Here is a 19509-nt window from a genome sequence, read left to right as displayed (position 1 = left end):
TTTTATATTTATCTAAATATATACACATTTTAAAACAACCCAAAAGTACAAACAGGATTATAATCATCTCCATACCATGGAAGGTATCCCTCTACTCTCTTTTTAGACTTTCCCCTGTGTTCCAATTTTTCTATCATGTGACTATAATCAAATTATTTTTGACATGTGTCCACTTCAGGATCCAGGGGGAATTCTGAAAGCTAGAGTCCCACTGGGTCACGCCCACAGCCACAATCCCCACAACACACACACACACACACACACACATAGAGGATATGAGACTCCCACTGGGCCATGCCCACAGCCACAATCCCCACAACACACACAGACACACACACACACACACAGAGGATATGAGACTCCCACTGGGCCATGCCCACAGCCACGATCCCCACAACACACACACGCGCACACACACACACACACACACACACACACACAGAGGATATGAGACTCCCACTGGGCCACACCCACAGCCACAATCCCAACACACACACACACACACACACACACACACACACACACACACACAGAGGATATGAGACTCCCAGTGGGCCATGCCCACAGCCACGGTCCCCACAACACACACACACACACACACACACACACACACACACACACACACACGGAGGATATGAGACTCCCACTGGGCCACGCCCACAGCCACGATCGCCACCACACACACACACACACACACACACACACACACACACACACACGGGATAAGAGACTCCCACTGGGCCACGCCCACTGCCACTATCGGCACAACACACACACACACGCACAGAGGACATGAGACTCCCACTGGGCCATGCCCACAGCCACGATCCCCACAACACACACACACACACACGCACACACACACAGGATAAGAGACTCCCACTGGGCCACACCCACTGCCACGATCGGCACAACACACACACACACGCACAGAGGACATGAGACTCCCACTGCGCCATGCCCACAGCCACGATCCCCACAACACACACACACACATACACAGGATATGAGACTCCCACTGGGCCATGCCCACAGCCACGATCCCCACCACACACACACAGAGAGAATATAAGTGCTCCTTGATCTGGAATCTAGAGTGCCACAGGGTCTCCAGAGGTCATTTGCCGCAAGCAGGGAAAACGAACACTCAGAAGACTTGTCTTGAGGAATCTTCTGATTCATCTAAAATGCTTAATGACATACATGTTGGTGCTTACCTGGGTGTTTTTTCCCTGAACTGTATTTCTCTAAAAATTAATGACTTATACCCTCCTCAGAGGTGCACAGACCATCTCCTCTGGCCCCCAGATCCTTGATAAATGAAGTCTTGGTGTACCAAGCCCCTTCCAGCCCCTCCTGCAGGATGACCGTGGGGCACCATTGCTACCGCTCCCGGGGTTCCCCATCTCCGTCTCTGTGCGACGGGAGGAACGCTTCCCATAGCAGACTGAGCAAAAACAGGGCTCAAAATGGTATAGACACACCATAGCTTCGTTTGAAAATATACATACATAAGGGGAGAAAGGATGGAAAGACCTCAAAATGGCTGCCATGGTGTTGCCACGGGCATGTGCTGGGGGGAGCAGGGGTACTGGTGATTGATTCATTATGGGTTGATCGATGGGGTATTTGACAAATGCTGGCTCTGGCAGCACATATACTAAAATTGGAACGATACAGAGATTAGCACAGCCCCTGCCCCCTTAGCTGGTATGGCATGCAAATTCATGAAGCATTCCATATTTACTTTAAAAATTATTTGGGAGGCTGAGGTGGAAGGATTGATTGAGCTTGGGAGGTACATGCTGCCCAGCTGACATGACACTGCTGCACTCAAGCCTGGGCAAGATCCTGTCTCAAAAAAAAAAAAAAAAGAAAGAAAGAAAAAGGAAAAGAAAAAAAGGAAAGGAAAGGAAGAGAGAAAAAAGAGCAAGCGAGAGAGAACGAGAGAGAAAGAAAAGAAAAAAAGATAAAGAAAAAGAGAGACCTCTTGCTCTCTCTCGAGGGACCTCTGCAGACCCTCTCCTCCCCAAAGGTGGGTCCTGTGGTCTACAAGATTTCCTGTACATTGCGAGCCCCCGCGCCCACCCAAAAAAAAAAAAAAAAAAAAAAAAAAAAATTGGTCGGGTACAGTGGCTCACGCCTGCAATCCCAGCACTCTGGGAGGTCGCTGCCGGCGGATCCCTTGAGCCCAGGAGTTCAAGACCAGCCTGGGCAACACAGTGAGACTGTCTCTAATATATATATATATGACAACGCCTCTATAATACGGCAATAGGAACTGTGGCATCAACGTAGGTATACAAGAGGCCCCGAGAGAGCGAGTCCCGGCCGCGCTCACCGCTGTAGTAGGGCAGCCACCGATACCGCCGCCCCTGGAACTCCGCTCCGTCGAACTCCGCGCACTGCTCGGCCCGGAAGTCCCGGGCGCCGTCGGGGCAGCTCTGCGGGGCGGAGGGGAAGTCGGGATCCAGGAGGGCGGAGTCCGAGGTCCGCCCACCTCCCGCCCCGCCCGAGCCCAGGGAGCCCAGGAGTCTCCCTTGCCTGCCCCATCGGAGCCGCCGGAGGTGGAGTCCGCCCCCCGGACCCCCGAACTCCTGTGCGTGCCCCTCCATGGTGCTCTAGGCTGTGGAGGGCAAGGCCAGTCCCCGGGAGCAGGGTGAGGAAGGGGCCCCCACGCAGCCCTGCTGTGGATTGGCGGGAGGACCCCAGGCTGGGCCAACCCAGCAGCCCGCGGCCAGGAGCGGGCATCCCAATGGGGAAATCGGCCAGGAGGGGCTGGGGAAGCTGGTGCCTTCGCCCGCGCCCCGTGAGCTTTACCTCCGTGCGACAAGAGCGGTGGCTCCGGGCGGGGCCCACGCAGCTGGAGCCTCCATCTCTCCTGCGGGACCAGAGCACCGGGAAGACCTGACCGAGACCCAACGTCCCTGCCCCCGTTCTGGGGCTCTCTGCAGGCCCCAACTTCTGCGGGACTCTCCAGTGGGAGCAGCAAGGTGAGAGGGTGTCCCCCGACCCCACCCCGTAAATCCCCCAGGTGGGAGTGAGCGACCCATGTTGGTACTCCAGAGAAGCGGGACTCAGAGCCCTACCCACCCTATAGTTTGGATTTAAGGCGGGACCACTCCACTGCATCTTAGGCAGATTCCCAGAGAAGACCCGAGGTGCATGAGATATAATACCCACCCGCTTGGCACAGCCATCCTGCGATCTAAGCAGGACATCAGTATAAGGCTCTTAGGATCATTCCTGGTCTCTCATTCCTCCTCACATAGGGTTCTCAGGAACAACCCCTATACAAACCGGGACAGAGGCACCTCACTACTCCTTCTGTGCCCCACCTTCTCCACTGACCCTGCCGGAGTGCAGCACACACAGCAAGCATTTAATAAATCGCTTGAAGTGGGGAACATCTGTACTCGGTAAAGAAACCACAGGAATTGGGAACTGCCGGTTGAAGATTATTTACCAGTTCCAGCAAAATTGACTGCACCTGCCATACTGCAGGCCGGTGCAGCATCAGGAGCTGGAGACCAGGGGCAACAGGCAGCACGCGTGCTCCAGCTCAGAGTGGAAGGCCCTGGGAAATGGTTTGATTTCCTGCGCTGAACTGATGCTGCTTCCAGAATGAATCTGCTCCTTGGTGGGTTCTGCTGATGTGGCCAGTGCTAGCCTAGGCCACGACCACCTAGCCCACCACCCAGAAGGCAGCATCCCCTGCTCCTGCTTTAACAAGCTGGCCCATTTTCATCTCTCCTACCTCTGGGAGTAGCAGGGGCGCTCCCGGAAGCTGACACCCCCTCCACAGGTCCGGCTGCAGGGGCTCCACTGGCTCCAGGGTCCCCAGGTGTCACTCTGCCGCCTCACCTTGGGAGCCTGCAGAAGACAGGACCATGCATCAGCATTGCCCACTCACAGCCTGAGCCCAGAGGCCCCTCCAAAGATGCTCTGCCTAAAACCCTCCCCTACCCATCAAGGAGTCTGGGATTCTCCCTTCCAGGGCCCACCTTTAGGACTCAGCAACACTGCCGGGCACCCCAAAACATATTCCTTTTCAGAATTAGCCTGCTTTCCTCATAAGGAGCTGAGAGCCAGGCCTGGAGGGCGGGAGCAGGAGCAGCTGGGAAGAGTTTGGAGTTTCAGGGGCCACTGGAGGGGAGGGACCCTACAGCCAGGGGCAGTTTGAGGGTCCAGGCATTTGTAGGTTAACCGTGATGTAGGGGAGGGGGGCCTAAAAGAAAATAAAGGGAAGCAACGTGGGGGGATCCTGCTAATCTGGCCGAGACTCCCAGGAGTACCCCAATATTCATCCCCTCCTTCTCCCATTGTGAGAGAATGCTTGAAAACTTGACTCAGCTGGGTACCTGGCTGCCCAAAATTTAAAAAAAAAATACATTTCCTGGACTGCCTGCAGCTAACTGTGGCTACATCACTTAGTTCTCATCAGTGAGATGTAAATACAAGTGTTGGGCAGCTGCCGCAAATAATCTCCTCAAGAGAGAGCCTGCGTGAGCCTTTGTCCTTTTCTCCTTCCTCCTGTACTCTTTCAGGCTGTCTGGGAAGCAGATGTGATGGCTGGAGTTGGAGCAGCCTTTTAGACTGTGAGGTAACTTGGAAATAGAGGCTTCAAACAGTGAAGCAAAGATAGAGGGACTCTAGAGCCTGGAGGATTTTGTGCAACAGAATAGCCCCAGACTTCTGACCCCTGGGTGTTTATATGAGAGAGGAATCATGTCTGTCTTATTGAAGAACTGTTATTTGGGACTCTACACAGGATTATAATCCTAGCAGGTACACTTTCCCACCAGAAAGATTGGACCCCTTGCAGCTGGCATCAGGAATCCACATGCCACACACACATTATCTCATTTCATCCTCACAACAACCCGACAGACCCCATTGCATGAATAAGAAAAGTGAGGCAGAGAGAGGAAACCACAGGGGAAGAAGTGGGCACAGTAGCCGGCCAGCCTCACTGCAGTCCTCTGCTCCCCTGCCGAGGCTGTGCCCCCACCCACCTGGGGGAATCAAATGAGACACTAGATGATTCCCTACAGGGTTGGACAGGGATTAGATGTAACTTCACAATTTTCCCAGGAGGCATATGGTGTACATGCAAACATTTGCTGGAAGGGGACTTTCTTTTAGGGTATCACCACTTAAGACTCAAGGAAAAATACCATTCCCACTTTTCAGAGAAAGAGCTCAATGGTCACACAGAAAAGCAGCCGGGCACGGTGGCTCATGCCTGTAATCCCAGCACTTTGAGAGGCCAAGGCAGGCAGATCACCTGAGGTCAGGAGTTCGAGACCAGCCTACCCAACATGGCGAAACCCCGTCTCTACTAAAACTACAAAAAATTAGCCAGGCGTGGCGGCGGGTGCCCGTAATCCCAGCTAGTCGGGAGGCTGAGGCAGGAGAATTGCTTGAACCCGGGAGGTGGAGGTTGCAGTGAGCCGAGATTGCATCACTGCACTCCAGCCTGGGCGACAGAGTGAGACTCCATCTCAAAAAAAGAAAAGAAAAGCAGGCTCTTGCTTTCATGGTGACCCCTGAGCAGCTTCGCTGAATCTCAGGTGAGGAAGGACGTTTACTCATCTCTAACATCCCTGGTGCCAAACATCTAGTTATCCTTGTCTTATAACAAAACCCAGAACACTGAAGCAGAACAAACCACGCACAAACCACGCTAAGCCTGCCGAACCACACACAACCAAGAAGGAAGGGCTTGCCAGATGAGAGGTCTTAGCTTTCACTTTGTAAAATATCTACTCCTTCAAGTCTAACTTGGACAAAAATCTCTAAGCTTTCGAAACCACTGAGCCAAAATATCAAAGTTTTCTCTGAATGAAAGTTAAACTGAAATTTACTTGGATCAAGTTTCTATTTCACAAGGAAGACACTGAGTGTTGAGCGTGAAGGGTGACTTTCCAGAGACAGCCTGCAGCCCCAGCTGGGATTCTGGCACCCGCCCCCCCCACACACAGCCTCATCCCACATTTTAAGTATTCAGGAGAGGTCTTCAGGGGTGGCTGCTTTCTTAGCTGCTGGGTTGGGCCTGGTTGTCAATTACCCTCTGACTAAGGCCTGTTTGGATGTCTGTCTTGGCTCCTTGGCACAGCAGCCAGCAAAATCCACCCTTCCCTGGAGCTGGGCTGGGTGTACTGGTGTGTGGCCAAGGGGTACCCCTGCCATGGAGCCACAGCCTGGCCATCAGGATAAGGCAGGGGCAGGACTGGCCTGAACAAGGGCCCCCTAAGGGACATGCTGTTTCCAGAATGCCCTCTTGCCTCCTGTGCCCAGCACCTGTAAGGCAGGTGTCCACTAGCCAGGAGCCCTAGTCCGTCCCATCCTAGAGCCGTGCTCTGTCCACACACTCCACACTGTCTCTCCAAGGAAGGAAAGCACCTTCAGCCACAGGCAGCATGAGCACACTCTTGCTCTGTAATTACCCAAACCGTGAACTGCCCGACATGGCGTGAAGCCGGAATGAGCTGATACAGCCAGCCTCACCTGGGGCCTGCCCTCACCTGTCTCATGCTGCGCTAGGCGCCCCACCCATGCCTCCTTCAACTCCCACCTGGAGCCACTCAGGGGTCCCCTTTCCTGCTGCACTGTTTCCAGGGGAATCAACTGCCCAATGTGCACGTGTGTAAGAGAGAGACAGAACACATGCACACCCGTGTGCAGACGGGAGCAGAGGCTGAGGCCCAGGAACACGCAGGCCGCCACCTTTATTCATTTACTCATTCTGTTCAGACTGACCGCTGACAGCATAAGTGATCCAGAGAAGGTGCTCGGACTGGGTGGTTCCTGCCCCAGCAACAGAGGGAGGCAGTGGAGCTGTGAGCGGGGCCACACCCCCTGCAGACTCACAGAGGGCAGGGAGAGAAGAATTCTCAGCCCAGGCTGCGCCCAGCCCCATCTGAGACTCACTGGGAGGAGGTGGCAGCCGGATGAGGCTACTCAGCGTGGCCTTAAGGGAGAAAAGGTTTAAGAGAACCAAGGGCGCTTTGGAAACCTTGATTTGTTTCATCTGCATGACAACCTCTGGGGTGGGCATTATTACTCCCAAATTAGAGCAGTCTAAGGCTTATTTGCCTAGGATCATGCAGCTGTCCAGGTGGCTCTGGGATTTAATCCTGGGGCCTGGACGCTGTCCTCGTGCCCCCTCCACCTGGGCTTTGGCCTTCATGCAGCTGGGCCACCAGCACGTGGTGAAGGACCTGAGAGTGGCATTTAGGAAGCAAGATTCATGGGGTGGCAGAGGGGACCGTGGGTAGCTGGCAGGTGGTCGAGAGGACATGAAAAAGGCTGCCTCTAGCCCACCCACCGCTCCAGCTGTGGCCCATGTTGGGTTCACAGGGCTCTTGAAGTGTCATCTATGGGATCCACTTCTAGTGGGAGAAGTGCCCACTGCCATCCATCCTGCCTGCCCCACACACCCCTGCAGAGGAGTCCTGCTCAGCCTCCGCCCACAGATGCCAGACGTGGCATCCCCCCCCCGACCTCCCCATGGCAGAAAACAGTTTGGGTCCTTTCGCAGGGATCCTTCCTCTTTCACTTCCTGCCTGCCTCACAGAGGGGTGGGCAGGGCTGTGGGTCACCCTGGGAGATTTCTCCTGGGGCAGGACAGGGCCCAGCTGCCTCTGTGGCTTCTATTCTGCCAGGCACTGAGCCAGGGCAACACCCAGCTCTGCAGACCCCCTCCTCCCCAAAGGTGGGGCCTGTGGTCTAGAAGATTCCTTGTACATCCTCAAGACCCAGGGACCTTCTCCAGAGAGCCCTGGCCTTTGGGCCCCTGTTAATGAAACAGCAGCTCTGACCACCAGCCAGCTTCCTGGGTCCACTGTCTTAATTCGCAGTCCAATACAGTAGCCACTAGCCGCATGCGGCTGTTTAAATTAATTATGGCCAGGCGTGGTGGCACACACCTGGAGTCCCAGCTACCTGGGAGGCTGAGGCAGAAGAATCACTTGAACCCAGGAGGTGGAGGTTACAGTGAGCCGAAATCATGCCAGTACACTCCGGCCTGGGTGACAGAGTGAGACTCTGTCTCAAAAATAAATAAATACTTAAAAATTTTAAAAATAAATTTAAATTAATTAAAGTCAAGTAAAATTAAAACTCACCTCACCCACATTTCAAGTGCTCAATGGACCTAGGGGCTACCTATTGGATAGCAGAGAAACAGGACATTTCTGCCATCTCAGAAGGTTCCATAGGACAGCCCTGCCCTAGGTGCTACCCCAAGGGGAATGGAAACGACTGGCACCCCAAACCTCTAGGCCAAAACACCCCAGCTTAGGGAAGCCGTGTTTGGCTCCAGGCAGAAGACAGGTGTCTGGTGGGATGGACCACCCAGCCCTGCACCTTGGCTGCACCCGCCAGGATTGGCGGGGACTTCATGGAGTGCTCCCACCACCTTCTGAAGGAGGGAAGCCCTGGGAAGGTGCCATTCCTACACACTGCGCCCTGCAGCCGGGCGGGCAGTTCTGGGAACCCTGGCCAGCTGGCTTCAAGGGCCCAGCCCTTTCTGAGGGAGCTCAGCGGTGCGGGCTCGCCTCCTCCCAGCCCAGCTTCCCTGACATCGCCCCTTTCCTGGGGACGTTGCCTGCGGGCCCGCGCGTCCCCGCCCCCGACTCCCCTGCAGGTTCCTCCGGGGGCCGGGGCAGGACCGCACTCACCGAGGACCCGGGCGCTGGAGCCAGCAGCAGCGGCACGAGCAGGAGCAGCCGCATCTCAGCCTGCGGGAGACGCATTGGGTTAGAGCGGCCCGGGGCTCCCGCAGCTGTCCTGGGCGCGGGCGAGAGTGTGTGGGCGCGTCTCTCCCTATGGCCCACAGGTGACCAGGAGACCCGCAACAGGACAGCCGGGTGCGCCTCGGTGCACCGCAGAGAACACAGCGTGAGGGCGCCCCGCCGGGCGGCTCAACATGTGAGCAAGAAAGGAATGGCCCATCCGCAACTGGCAGAAGTTCAAGAACAACTTGTTTCAGAGTTCCAGAGGGGAAAAAAAGAGAGAGCAATTAAAAATACTTCTATGTGGTTGAAAAACAAGTTCAGAATCCGAGTAATTAGACTCACTTTTAATTCAGCAAGATTCCTTTTAAAAAAGCTATTACATCAGATGTTTAAAAACTCCTAATATAGGCTTTAAAAAAATCAAGTCTCTGAAGACACTTTGAAAACCCAAATGCTCTAAAAGTGTTAATTGTAGCCCATTTAAAACCCAAGCCAGCATTTCTCTGCACAGGGAAGCTCCATAAGCAGCCTCCATAACCAACGTGTGTATGCAGTGCAGTGTGCGCCGTGCAGTGTGCGTGGTGCAGCGTGTGAGCCCTGAAAGTGCAGTGCAGTGTGCAGTACAGTGTAGTGTGCTCAGGGCAGTGTGCAGTGCAGTGTGTGTGGAGTGTCTGTGGTTTGATGTGTGCATGCATGCAAAGTGCATGTGCAGTGTGCGGGGCGGGTCCATGTGCAGTCTGGTGTGTACTATTTGGTGCAGGTGTCCAGTCGGTATACACGCTGTGCAGTGTGTATGTGTACATACATGTCGCTGTATCGCAGAATGACATAAACAATGTGCGCCCTTCAGTACAAAACATTAAACAAGTACTAGCGTGCAGGTTTGAACTTTAAAATCTGTAATTCTACCAATGTTCTAATTTTTTAAAGATATAAAATGACTTCTGCTTACAAGGATAAAAGACAGCATACAGAAGCCAAGCTCAGCAGAAATGTAACCTGGCATACTGAACAATGTACACACTCGTTAATTTGGCACAGTGAGTCATTGAGTCATTATTTTCGTGGTCAAGTTCGAGATTCCTGGGGTTGGAGGGTGAGGGAAGGGGGTTGCTGCCAGAGCCCTGCCTCTGCTCTGCTGGGGGCAGCTCCCAGAGCAGGAGCCCCCTGCTAGGGCCAGGCTAGGCCTGCTAGGGCGGGCGAGGCTGAGGAAAAGACGGGTGAAAGAAGAATTTTACTTGTAATTACTCAGAACACCACCGCCTCCGCTGCAATTTCACTGAACTCCAAGCCCATATCTGCCATTCCGAAGTCTGAAAAGTTCAGTTTTTTCGGTTCATTTGGTGGCAAACAACCCCTTCAACTCCAAGGCCAGTCCGGGTCTGGTCACGGGGCTACTCCGAGGGCCGTGGAAGCTCGACCTCTCCTGCCGCCCGAGGGCAGGGACCGGGTGGCCCCGGGCACGCAGGGTGGGCGCCCTCAACGTGTTGTTCCCGGGGAACGCGTCTGCCTTGAGCTAGGGCCGAAGGCGGCGACCCTAGGCGCCAGAGGGCGGGAAGGCGGGTGGCCGCCGACCAAGCCTCCCCCTACAGGGTCCCCAGCCGACTCCGGGACCGCCGCAGTCCGCAGACGCCCGTCCCCGTGGCCCCCGCCCACGGCCCCCCTCTGCATCGGTCCAGCCCTGACCAGGCACCCCGCGTCCCCACCCCAGGAACGCGCCGCGCACCCCCGAGGCGGAGAGGCGCGGTTCCCACGGGAGGCCCGGGGTGGCCGCGCAGGTGCCGGCAGCCGCTGGGGCTCCCGGACGCTCCAGGCCCGCGGCCCAGTGGCACCTCCCGGGAGGGGCGCACGGTCTCCAGGGCCTCGCTTGTACCACGCGCCGGGAGCGGCATTCGCCTGAAGGGAAGGTCCGAGCGGGCGGAGGGTGCGCGCCGGGGCCGTCCCGCACCAGCTCCCCGGCTCTCTGCATTTCCTTTCCTCCAGGCCGGGGGGCGCGCGGTGCCGAGCGATGACCCTGCGCCCACCTCCGGAGAGCGAGCCGGGGCGGGGTCTTCTCTGCGGCCCCCACTTTCTCCGACACCCCCGTCGCCGTGAGCCAGGCGAGCAAATTCCTGCAGAAGCCCCGGGGTGCGGGGTCCCCGCCGCTGGGCGCCCGGGGGCTTCCAGTCCCTCCGCCTCCCTACCTGTCTTCGCTGGCGCCGGGAGGCTGCAGCCAGGGCCGCTCCGTCGGTGCCCGCCCAGGCCCAAGCCCGCGAGGTCGGCCGGGCCGCAAGGAACGCCCGCAGGGGTGGGACTTTCTCTCTCCGCCGCTGCCTGGCCTCACCCTCCACCCCGCCCTGTCTCACTTACCCACCTCCAATCCCCGTGGGAGGACAGAGCCCTTCGTAGAGGCCCTCGTGGTGACCGGTGTTGCCCGGGGCCTCCACCCGCTTGGGTCTGTGCCAAGGCTTGGCTCATCCTCCACTCTGGTCACCCCGTCTGTCCTCTCTTGGGTCAGCGCCAGTCACCTCTCCAATCCCATTTCCCCTTGCCCAAGCCTTCTAGCTTTGCCCTATCCGCTCCTCTTCATGCCTATCCTACACACAACACACCTGTGTCCAGCCACCACCTTCTCCACCCCTGGATCCTATTCTTCAGCCGCAACTGAGTTTCTCCGCACACGCTGCTGTTACCCATCTCCCAGCACGTTTTCTCACTCAGAATGCGCTCTCCCAATCCCCTCTACCTCTCAAACCCGTAGTCAGCCCTCAAAACCTTGGTCAAATGTCACTTTCCTTCCTTTCTTCTTTCTTTCCCTCCCTCCCTTCCTCTTTTCTTTCTTTCTACTTTCCTCCCTCACTTTCTTCTTTCTTTCCCTCCCTCCCTTCCTCTTTTCTTTCTTTCTACTTTCCTCCCTCCCTTTCTTCCTCTTTCTTTTCTTTCTTTCTACTTTCCTCCCTCCTTTTCTTTTTTTTTTTTTTAGACGGAGTTTCACTCTTGTTGCCCAGGGTAGAGAGCAATGGCTAGATCTTGGCTCACTGCAACCTCCGCCTCCTGGGTTCAAGCGATTCTCCAGCCTCAGCCTCCCTAGTAGCTGGGATTACAGGCGTCTGTATGATGCCTGGCTAATTTTTGTATTTTTAGTAGAGACAGGTTTTCACCTTGTTGGCCAGACTGGTCTCCAACTCCTGACTTCAGGTGATCCACCCACCTCGGACTCCCAAAGTGCTGGGATTACAGACGTGAGCCACTGCGCCCAGCCTTCTTCTTCTTTTTTTAAATAGAAACAAGGTCTCGCCCAACCTGGTCTCGAACTCCTGAGCTCAAGCAATCTTCCCACCGTGGCCTGCCAAAGTGCCACCGTGCCCAGCATGTCACCTGCTTTTGAAGCCGTCTCCACACCACCCCAGGCCGATGGGGTGCATGTCCTGCTCCCTCGGTTTCTGTCCCTGTTGCTGTGATTTGCTCAGCTGTGAGTCCCGGGGGGCAGGGCCTGCAATGCAGCCCCACCACCTGTGCCAGGGCACTAATTAGCATCAAGGCAGGGGCTCAACGCATGTGATCAACTTCATTTGTTTTCCTGGTTGTCCTTTTTCACAACCAAGACACTCTTTGCCTACCATTCTTTTTTTGAAACTGGAATTCACTCATCTTTAGAAACTGGTCCTGGACACGAGGGAGGTTGGGGGGAAGAAGTTGGGGAGAGGTTGGGGGTGGGGTGGTGGCAAAGGCTGGTCCCCTTCCCCCACGCTGTTCTGCCTTTAGCCCCTTGCTGGCCCTGCCACTTCTCCCTTGGCCTCATTTGGGCAAAGAGAAGTCACCAGCGGGAAGCTCAGCCCCACTTCAGCCCCCTGGCTCCAGCAGCTGCCTGTTTGGACAAAATGCTTATTAGAACATGGCCAGTTTAAATCAGTTTAAATCAGGTGCATTTCTTACCTATCAATGAAGACAGGAGGAGCAGCAGCTGTAGCGGGGCCCCTGGGGAGTTGTGTGAATTCTTAAGCAAAGATAAAGCTTGGCAGAGAAAGGGGAGTGGAATCATGCAGCCTCTCTAAAGAGGAAAAGCGCTTCTTCCATTCAACAAGCCCCACTCCCTGCCCCCACCAGCTGGGACTTTTCTGAGCTTGGTCAAAGGTCCTCTGTTAAGTGGGAGGAAAATGCTTCTCCCGCTGCAGGGTGGGGGAAGCTGAGGCCCAAGGAGCTCACTTTCCTGCTGTGTCCCTGCTTTTCCTATGATCCTTTCTTCTCAGACACCCAGGGCTGTGATTTCTTATGCCTCACGCCAGCTGCAAAGAGGACTCTGAGGTTGGGAGGCAGAACCCACACTCAGTGGTAAGGGACTGTCTTAGACCCACCAGCCAGGCCCTAGCAATTACTGGCTTGGGCAGGAATATTCTCTTTAAGCCTCATTTCTCCTCTGCTTACCTCACAGAGATGTGAACAGAACTGATGCATTAAAATAGGGTGGTTTAGAAAGAAGATTCCAGGAAAAAGTGTAAGACCTTCCTTCCTATTGTCAAGTCCCCTCTGTGCTGGCTCTATGCCACTCAGTGTCTGCACCTGAGACGCCCTCGCATTGGGGGTTTGGGGTAGCCTGGGGCGGAGGCAGACCTGGACTGGAAGGCTGCTCTGCTTCTCACTGTGTGTGTACTTGGGCAGGTCGGGTCACCTCCTTAAGCCACAACTTGCTCACTTGAGACTCATACAGCAGGTGGTAGAGTAGGGAAGTAACTGGTTTCCATAAAATTCCTACTAGATGCAGAATAAAAGTTAGTTCTGATCTGGGCGCAGTGGCTCATGCCTGGAGTCCCAATACTTTGAGAGGCTGAGGAGGGAGGATTGCTTAAGTCTAGGAGTTCAAAACTAGCCAGGGCAACACAGTGAGACCCTCCATCTCTACAATTTTTTTTTTAATTAGCCAGGTATGGTGGCAGTTGCCTGCAGTCCAAGATAGGGGTCCTCAATCCCCAGGCCACGGACCGGTACCTGTCCATGGCCTGTTAGGAACGGGCACACAGCAGGAGGTGAGCAAGCATTACTGCCTGAGCCCCGCCACCTGTCAGGTCAGTGGCAGCATTAGATTCCCACGGGAGCATGAACCCTGTTGTGAACTACTCATGCAAGGGACCTAGGGTGTGCATTCCTTAGGAGACTCTGATGCCTGATGATCTGAACAGGATCAGGCTTTAGACTGGAACAGTTTCTTCCCGAAACCATCCCACCCCGCTCCCAGACCTGAAAAAATTCTCTTCCATAAAACTGGTCCCTGGTGCCAAAAAGGTCGGGTACCACTGGCCAAGCTACTTGGAAGGCTGAGGCAGGAGGATCAATTGAGCCTGGGATGTCGAGGCTGCAGCGAGCTATGATTGCACCACTGCACTCCAGCCCGGGCAGCAGAGCAAGACCCTGTCTCTAAAAAAATTTTTGTTAAATTTCTGTCCTGTGCTCCCGCCATGTGTATCCTCAATTCTCTACATTTTCATATCTCCACAGATTGCAGATCTAAGGATGAGGCTAAGAAAGAAGTGGCCAGATCTCTTTGTGTGGTTGGGTTGGGATGGAAGGCTGGAGAGAAGAGAGAGGGCAAAATGCCAAGAGCCTCGGGGCTCCCAGGATTCACCTCCTCCAGGAAGCCTTCCTGTACATCTGGCTCTGCACTCCCATCGGTGCCGGGCTTTGCCCTAGCACTTTCAAACTACTGCAGTGATGTAGTTGTTTCTCTTTCTCTCTCATAATTGTGAACATTGCAAGGGCAGAGATCCATTTTCATGTTATACCCTGGACCAGAGGTTCATGGTGGCCCTGAAGGTTTGCCTCAAGAGAGGGGCTTTGAGAAGTGTAACTGGTGACCAGCTTCCAGTGGCTGCACTCAGCCCCACACCAGGTTCTGAAGACTCCCCCTGCACCTCCTCCTCCCCGCAATTCATCTTCACAGGCGCTCCCCTGTAGATCTCTCGCACATCTAGTCCCGTCTCAGCCTCTGCTCTCAGAGGGCCTGAACCAACCCTTGCGGTTCTTGGTTGCACATCACAGAAAAGGACTGAGTCAGCTTAAACAGGAGAGTTGCTTAGAAGAGAGGCAATGGGAGATCGCAGATTGACAGGAGGGCTGAAAATCAGGCACATGCTTGGGCTGGACCCCCGACAATGTCCTAGTTGTAGTCCAGGAGCAGTTCCAGTTAGGATCTATGCTGCTCTTCCGCTGGACGCTGAACTCGTGTCACCACCAATTTTAGGCAATGCTGACACATGCCTAGAAAAACCCTGAAGCGTCCTTGTAGACTCACTCCCCACAGGAACATGCCTGTACCCTGATGGCCAGGACCTGAGAAACAAGAATTGGCAGGGTCCCCAGGTGGAAGTTCAGATGGCAGCTGCCCCAGAAAACACATGTCCACCAGGACAGGGTATTTGTTGAACTCCCATTGAACTGAATTTAGAGGATGCTGCTTCCCTCTTCCTTCATTTGGAGGTTGTTCATCCAAATATCTGAGTGCCTACGCTGCGCTAGAAGCTGGGAGAGACCGGCCCAGTGGTGATAACTGTTTAAGCTTCAGCTTGCTGCAGGAGGCAGCACTGCTGTGCAGGTGGATTCTTTCCCATGGCGTTTGGTGTAGATGCTCCCACCATGGCTGTTTTCAAGCTACCAAGGTGACGTCACCAGACGTGGAGTTGGGAAGAGATGCAGTCAGCTCTCCCAGGCGTGGGCTCCAGCTCACTAGGTCTGCTCGGGGAGTTTACACTCTAGTGGGGACTTGCATTCTAGTGCTGTGTGTGTCAGTTTAGACTAAGCTGAGTTTTACAATCAGAGTATTCAAACATTTTTACGATAAAAGTCATAGAACCGATGCCACAGCCCACTAGGAATCCAAAAGGAAAAAAGATACTCCACATCAGAGGCTGCTGCATTTATTTCTCTAACGTCTCCCCACCCCCCAATACATATATTCATTTCCCTTAATACAGTCATTCAAACGCTGGGAACGGCGGGAAGGCGAGGGTCAAAACTCCACTCCGTGCTGTGCTTCCAGACGCCACCTCAACCTTCCTTCCCCCATTGCGTTGCCATATCCAAGTCAGCTCTTTGAAGCACCATGCCAGACCACTGGAGTGGGAATTCAGGGCTCAGTGTGTCTGACAAGTGGCTGTCAGGAGATAAGCCACCTGGCCTTTGGAGGGGAGTTTTACCCTTAAAGCTGAGACAGAAATATATAATAGCTCCTCCCACCCTTCCTGCAGACAAGAAGGCCATCCAGAGGGAAAGAACAGGAATTCCTGGGATGTCCCCTCAGTGACACCAGGCCCACGCTGACTCGGATCCCGGAAAGGGCACCGGGATGCGGGAGAGGCTGTGTGGAGGCAGGACAATGCCTGGGGAAGGAGAGCAGAGACAGTGGGAAAGGAAGGGGCTTTCCAATGCTGTTTCTGACTAGCTCCCAGCCAGCAGCTCCAGCCGGCAGAGATCTCATCCCCTCTGCCCACAGGGGAACACAAACTCCTACCACAGCGACCCCAACCACGGCCTCCTTTGGAGAAGCTGGTTGAGACATTAAGGGAGCTGCTGTGAGGAACCCACCCTCACTTCCCAAAGGGGAGAGCAGCTCCTGGCCCAGACCCCACAAAGGTCGGTGTAAGGTGTGGAACCAGCTCAAGAGCACAGGCCCGGAGCATGTCTCTGGGCCTTGAAGCTCCAGGTGGGCACCCCAGACTCCCAGGCAAGCCTGGTGTCCTGTGGCCGCCTGGTGGCCCCTCGGATGGTTGCAGAAGGCAGCAAGTCCCTGTTCTCTTGTGATGAATCCAGTGAGCCAGGCTCTGAGGTCCCTGGTGCTGTCCCTGGGGGGCTGTCACGGACAGGGGCCCTGGATTGGTAGCCCCAGAGGCCAGCAGTCAAGGCTGTTTAGATCCTTTTGTCTTGGTCTCACCCTCCACCATGCTCCTGGGACACTTCTCATCTACCCTGTGGCTTCAGCCTCTGTACCTGAATGGTTCTCAGCCCAGACATTGAGAGACAGCCTGTGTCTCGGGCCAAAGACCTGGAAACACAACCCAGAAGTCAGTGGGCCAGTGCCTCGCAATCCTAAAACAAGACTTCCCCGAAGCTGAAGGGAGAGGAAATAATTTTTCTTTTCTTTTCTTTTCTTTTTTTTTGCTGCAGTGCTTCTCTAGCTCTCATTTCTGTGGGGACCTGTTATCCTGGACCCCTACTTTATAGTATAATGCCACGGAAAGATGTACAGACACAAAACGGGGTCTAAGCTCTTTATTTTTACAGCTTTCATATCACTGTTAATTCTATATATCTAGGTCCCAATCCCTTATCAGAAACTCTTGAGGCCAAACGTGTTTCAGAATTGAGAATTTTCCAGGCTTTAGAAGTGACTAAACTGCATATTATATAATACTCCCAGCAGGCTGGAAGCCCTCTTTTCACCATCTCGGCTCACTGCAACCTCCGCGTCCTAGGTTCAAGCGATTCTCTTGCCTCAGCCTCCCCAGTAGCTGGGATTACAAGCACACACCACCACACTCAGCTAATTTTTGTATTTTTAGTAGAGATGGGGTTTCACCATGTTGGCCAGATTGGTCTCCAACTCCTGACCTCAGGTGATCTGCCCACCTTGGCCTCCCAAAGTGCTGGGATTATAGGCATGAGCCACCGTGCCTGGCCAGAAGCCCTCTTTTTATGTTTATTTTTTTGAGACGGAGTTTTGCTCTGTTGCCCAGTCTGGAGTGCAATGGTGCGATCTCGGCTCACTGCAAGCTCCACCTCCTGGGTTCAAGCGATTCTCCTGCCTCAGCCTCCCGAGTAGCTGGGACTGCAGGCGCATGCCACCACGCCTGGCTAATTATTTTGTATTTCTAGTAGAGACGGGATTTCACCATGTTAGCCAGGATGGTCTCGATCTCCTGATCTTGTGATCCGCCTGCCTTAGCCTCCCAAAGTGCTGGGATTACAGGCGTGAGCCACCGCGCCCGGCCAGAAGCCCTTTTTAATCAAAACAAATCAACGAGCAAAACCGCCGCACATACACACTCATAGCTCTGCGGCAAAACACACAAATGTCCTCCTAAAGGGCATAAAGTTCAGTCAGGTATTACGGACACATTGATAAGAAACCTTTCAGTTTTCAGAGCTTTGTAAATTTTGCCCATTAAACGCAATATAACGCAGAGCAGATGGGATTCAGATGAGCAGCATTTGTGTGATGTGGTGGGCGGGGTGGCCTACTGGAATCACCTCCTGGTGGTGCCATGAATGTGGTCCAAGCTTGGGGGCAGGAAGTAGGGAGGCACAAAGCCTGGGCAGTCTTGGGTCTACCACTCCTGGCTGTAATATCTCAGGCAAGCCAACCTTCCTGCATGGCAGTTTTCTCATTTTTAAAAGACAATAGATTGATGTAAATAAAAAATAAATACTAAAATTGAAAATTCCCAGGAATCCACCACCCCAAACTCTGAGAACAAAGTGAGGCAGCAGAAAGCTGGAGGTGGCATCCTCTCTGAAGGGGAGTGGCACACACCCGTGTCGACTGGGGCCTCCAGCGCAGGCCTCCAGGCAGCATTGGCACTGAAAGGCAGACTGTGACGGGCTGTCCTGCTCGGCCAGAGTTGGGAGCTGAGGCCTGGCTGGTCAGTGTCTCTCGCACCAGAGCTTGTGACCTTAGCATCACAGGAAGACTGAATAAATAAGGCACAGCTTCTGGGAACATCAACTTTAGGAGTGTGTATGGTGGTGTCATATATTTTTGGTGATGGTTTTTTTTTTTTTTTTTTGAGATGGAGTCTCACTCTTGTCACCCAGGCTGGAGTGCGGTGGCACGATCTCGGCTCACTGCAACCTCCGCCTCCCGGGTTCAAGCAATTCTCCTGCCTCAGCCTCCTGAGTAGCTGGGATTACAGGTGCCTGCCACCATGCCCAGCTAATTTTTGTACTTTTAGTAGATATGGGGTTTCGCCATGTTGGCCAGGCTGGTCTTGAACTCCTGACCTCAGGTGATCTGCCCGCCTTGGCCTCCCAAAGTGCTGGGATTACAGGCGTGAGCCACCATGCCCAGCCGTTTTTTTTTTTTTTTTAACATTAAAACACGTCTACAACAACATGCATGAACCTCAAGGACTTCACGCTAAGTGAAATAAGCCAGTCACAGAAGAATGAATAGTGGGTCGTTCCACTCCTTGTGAGGTTCCTGGAGTAGTCAAATTCACAGAGACAGAGCTGGAATGGGGGTGCTGGAGGCTGGGGCGGGGAGCTGTTTTGTGGTGAGGAAGGAGCTCTGGAGATGGGCGTGTGATAGCTACACATCACTGTGAAGGAACTTAATGTCACCAAATGCACACTCAAAAATGGTTAGGATGGTATATTTTATGTTGTATTTTACCCAGTAAGACAACAAAAAGCATATATTATGAAATAAAACTTTTGGTTTTGGTAAAACTCCAGAGAACTCTCCACCTAAGGCTGCCACCTTGGACTGTGTCCACATCCCTCAGTGTCTCTGTCCTCTGTTGCTTGAGCAGCTTTAGTGAGAAAGTTGAGAAAGGTTGTGAGACTGCGCTACCAAGGCCCACTCAGACGAAGATTCGGTTCATCAGAAATGGGGTCCAGTGCCCCCGTCCTTGACAGTGCTGGAGGCACAGCCTCTCCCACTTACCTGCGGGCAGTGACTCTGGGAGCGCTCCTCCTCCTCTGTAAAATGGGGCTAACAGGCCCTACCCATAGGGTGGGGTGAGGACAGGAGACAATGCCTGTGATGGGCTTGGCATAGTGTCTGTGGCATATTAAGGGACAT

At 54.1% G+C, this 19509-nt stretch overlaps 1 protein-coding gene, 1 long non-coding RNA gene and 1 pseudogene across 17 annotated transcripts in view, besides 9 other annotated features; 2 read left to right on the top strand and 1 right to left on the bottom strand.

The window, feature by feature from the left end:
* Positions 1-12712, bottom strand: part of PAPLN (papilin, proteoglycan like sulfated glycoprotein) — a 38819-nt gene extending 26107 nt beyond the window's left edge. For 5 of the 16 annotated variants that reach the window (NR_158678.2, NR_158677.2, NM_001365906.3 and 2 more), the window contains exons 1-5: positions 10925-11011; positions 8685-8744; positions 3758-3873; positions 2821-2881; positions 2342-2444 (exon numbers count right to left, since the gene is read on the bottom strand). Coding sequence is in view for 14 of the 16 variants with exons in the window: in NM_001365906.3 (NP_001352835.1) it covers positions 2342-2444; positions 2821-2881; positions 3758-3873; positions 8685-8738 (334 nt within the window). In the remaining 2 variants the exon portion in view is untranslated. Of the gene's footprint in view, positions 1-2341; positions 2445-2820; positions 3291-3757; positions 3874-8684; positions 8907-9989; positions 10055-10924; positions 11012-12656 lie in introns of those variants that run through there. The other 11 variants (XM_047431873.1, XM_011537293.4, XM_017021749.3 and 8 more) reach the window with 7 other exon arrangements.
* Positions 755-1256: an enhancer, noted in NCBI's record as "H3K4me1 hESC enhancer chr14:73713969-73714470 (GRCh37/hg19 assembly coordinates)". NCBI's record gives its function as "activates a minimal SCP1, AML or CMV promoter by ChIP-STARR-seq in naive H9 embryonic stem cells {active_cell/tissue: H9 hESC(naive)}" and the evidence as "EXISTENCE:reporter gene assay evidence [ECO:0000049][PMID:30033119]".
* Positions 1395-1464: an enhancer, noted in NCBI's record as "active region_8696". NCBI's record gives its function as "activates an Ori minimal core promoter by ATAC-STARR-seq in GM12878 lymphoblastoid cells {active_cell/tissue: GM12878}" and the evidence as "EXISTENCE:reporter gene assay evidence [ECO:0000049][PMID:35858748]".
* RNU6-419P (RNA, U6 small nuclear 419, pseudogene) lies at positions 1638-1745 on the top strand (annotated as a pseudogene).
* Positions 2412-2681: a silencer, noted in NCBI's record as "silent region_5906". NCBI's record gives its function as "represses an Ori minimal core promoter by ATAC-STARR-seq in GM12878 lymphoblastoid cells {active_cell/tissue: GM12878}" and the evidence as "EXISTENCE:reporter gene assay evidence [ECO:0000049][PMID:35858748]".
* Positions 2516-4499, top strand: PAPLN-AS1 (PAPLN antisense RNA 1). The gene is made up of 2 exons (NR_135248.1): positions 2516-2993; positions 3273-4499. It is a non-coding gene; the product is annotated as a PAPLN antisense RNA 1 (long non-coding RNA).
* Positions 10450-11020: an enhancer, noted in NCBI's record as "H3K27ac-H3K4me1 hESC enhancer chr14:73704205-73704775 (GRCh37/hg19 assembly coordinates)". NCBI's record gives its function as "activates a minimal SCP1, AML or CMV promoter by ChIP-STARR-seq in primed H9 embryonic stem cells {active_cell/tissue: H9 hESC(primed)}" and the evidence as "EXISTENCE:reporter gene assay evidence [ECO:0000049][PMID:30033119]".
* Positions 11594-12165: an enhancer, noted in NCBI's record as "H3K4me1 hESC enhancer chr14:73703060-73703631 (GRCh37/hg19 assembly coordinates)". NCBI's record gives its function as "activates a minimal SCP1, AML or CMV promoter by ChIP-STARR-seq in primed H9 embryonic stem cells {active_cell/tissue: H9 hESC(primed)}" and the evidence as "EXISTENCE:reporter gene assay evidence [ECO:0000049][PMID:30033119]".
* Positions 11594-12738: a biological region, named in NCBI's record as "H3K4me1 hESC enhancers GRCh37_chr14:73702487-73703059 and GRCh37_chr14:73703060-73703631".
* Positions 12082-12376: a silencer, noted in NCBI's record as "tiled region #813; K562 Repressive non-DNase unmatched - State 21:Repr". NCBI's record gives its function as "represses a minimal TATA promoter and a strong SV40 promoter by Sharpr-MPRA in K562 cells {active_cell/tissue: K562}" and the evidence as "EXISTENCE:reporter gene assay evidence [ECO:0000049][PMID:27701403]".
* Positions 12166-12738: an enhancer, noted in NCBI's record as "H3K4me1 hESC enhancer chr14:73702487-73703059 (GRCh37/hg19 assembly coordinates)". NCBI's record gives its function as "activates a minimal SCP1, AML or CMV promoter by ChIP-STARR-seq in primed H9 embryonic stem cells {active_cell/tissue: H9 hESC(primed)}" and the evidence as "EXISTENCE:reporter gene assay evidence [ECO:0000049][PMID:30033119]".
* Positions 16539-16608: an enhancer, noted in NCBI's record as "active region_8695". NCBI's record gives its function as "activates an Ori minimal core promoter by ATAC-STARR-seq in GM12878 lymphoblastoid cells {active_cell/tissue: GM12878}" and the evidence as "EXISTENCE:reporter gene assay evidence [ECO:0000049][PMID:35858748]".

Source organism: Homo sapiens, chromosome 14 (assembly GCF_000001405.40).
Source record: "Homo sapiens chromosome 14, GRCh38.p14 Primary Assembly".
Classification (NCBI taxonomy): Eukaryota; Metazoa; Chordata; class Mammalia; order Primates; family Hominidae; genus Homo; species Homo sapiens.
This window is presented reverse-complemented; position numbering and strand designations above follow the sequence as displayed.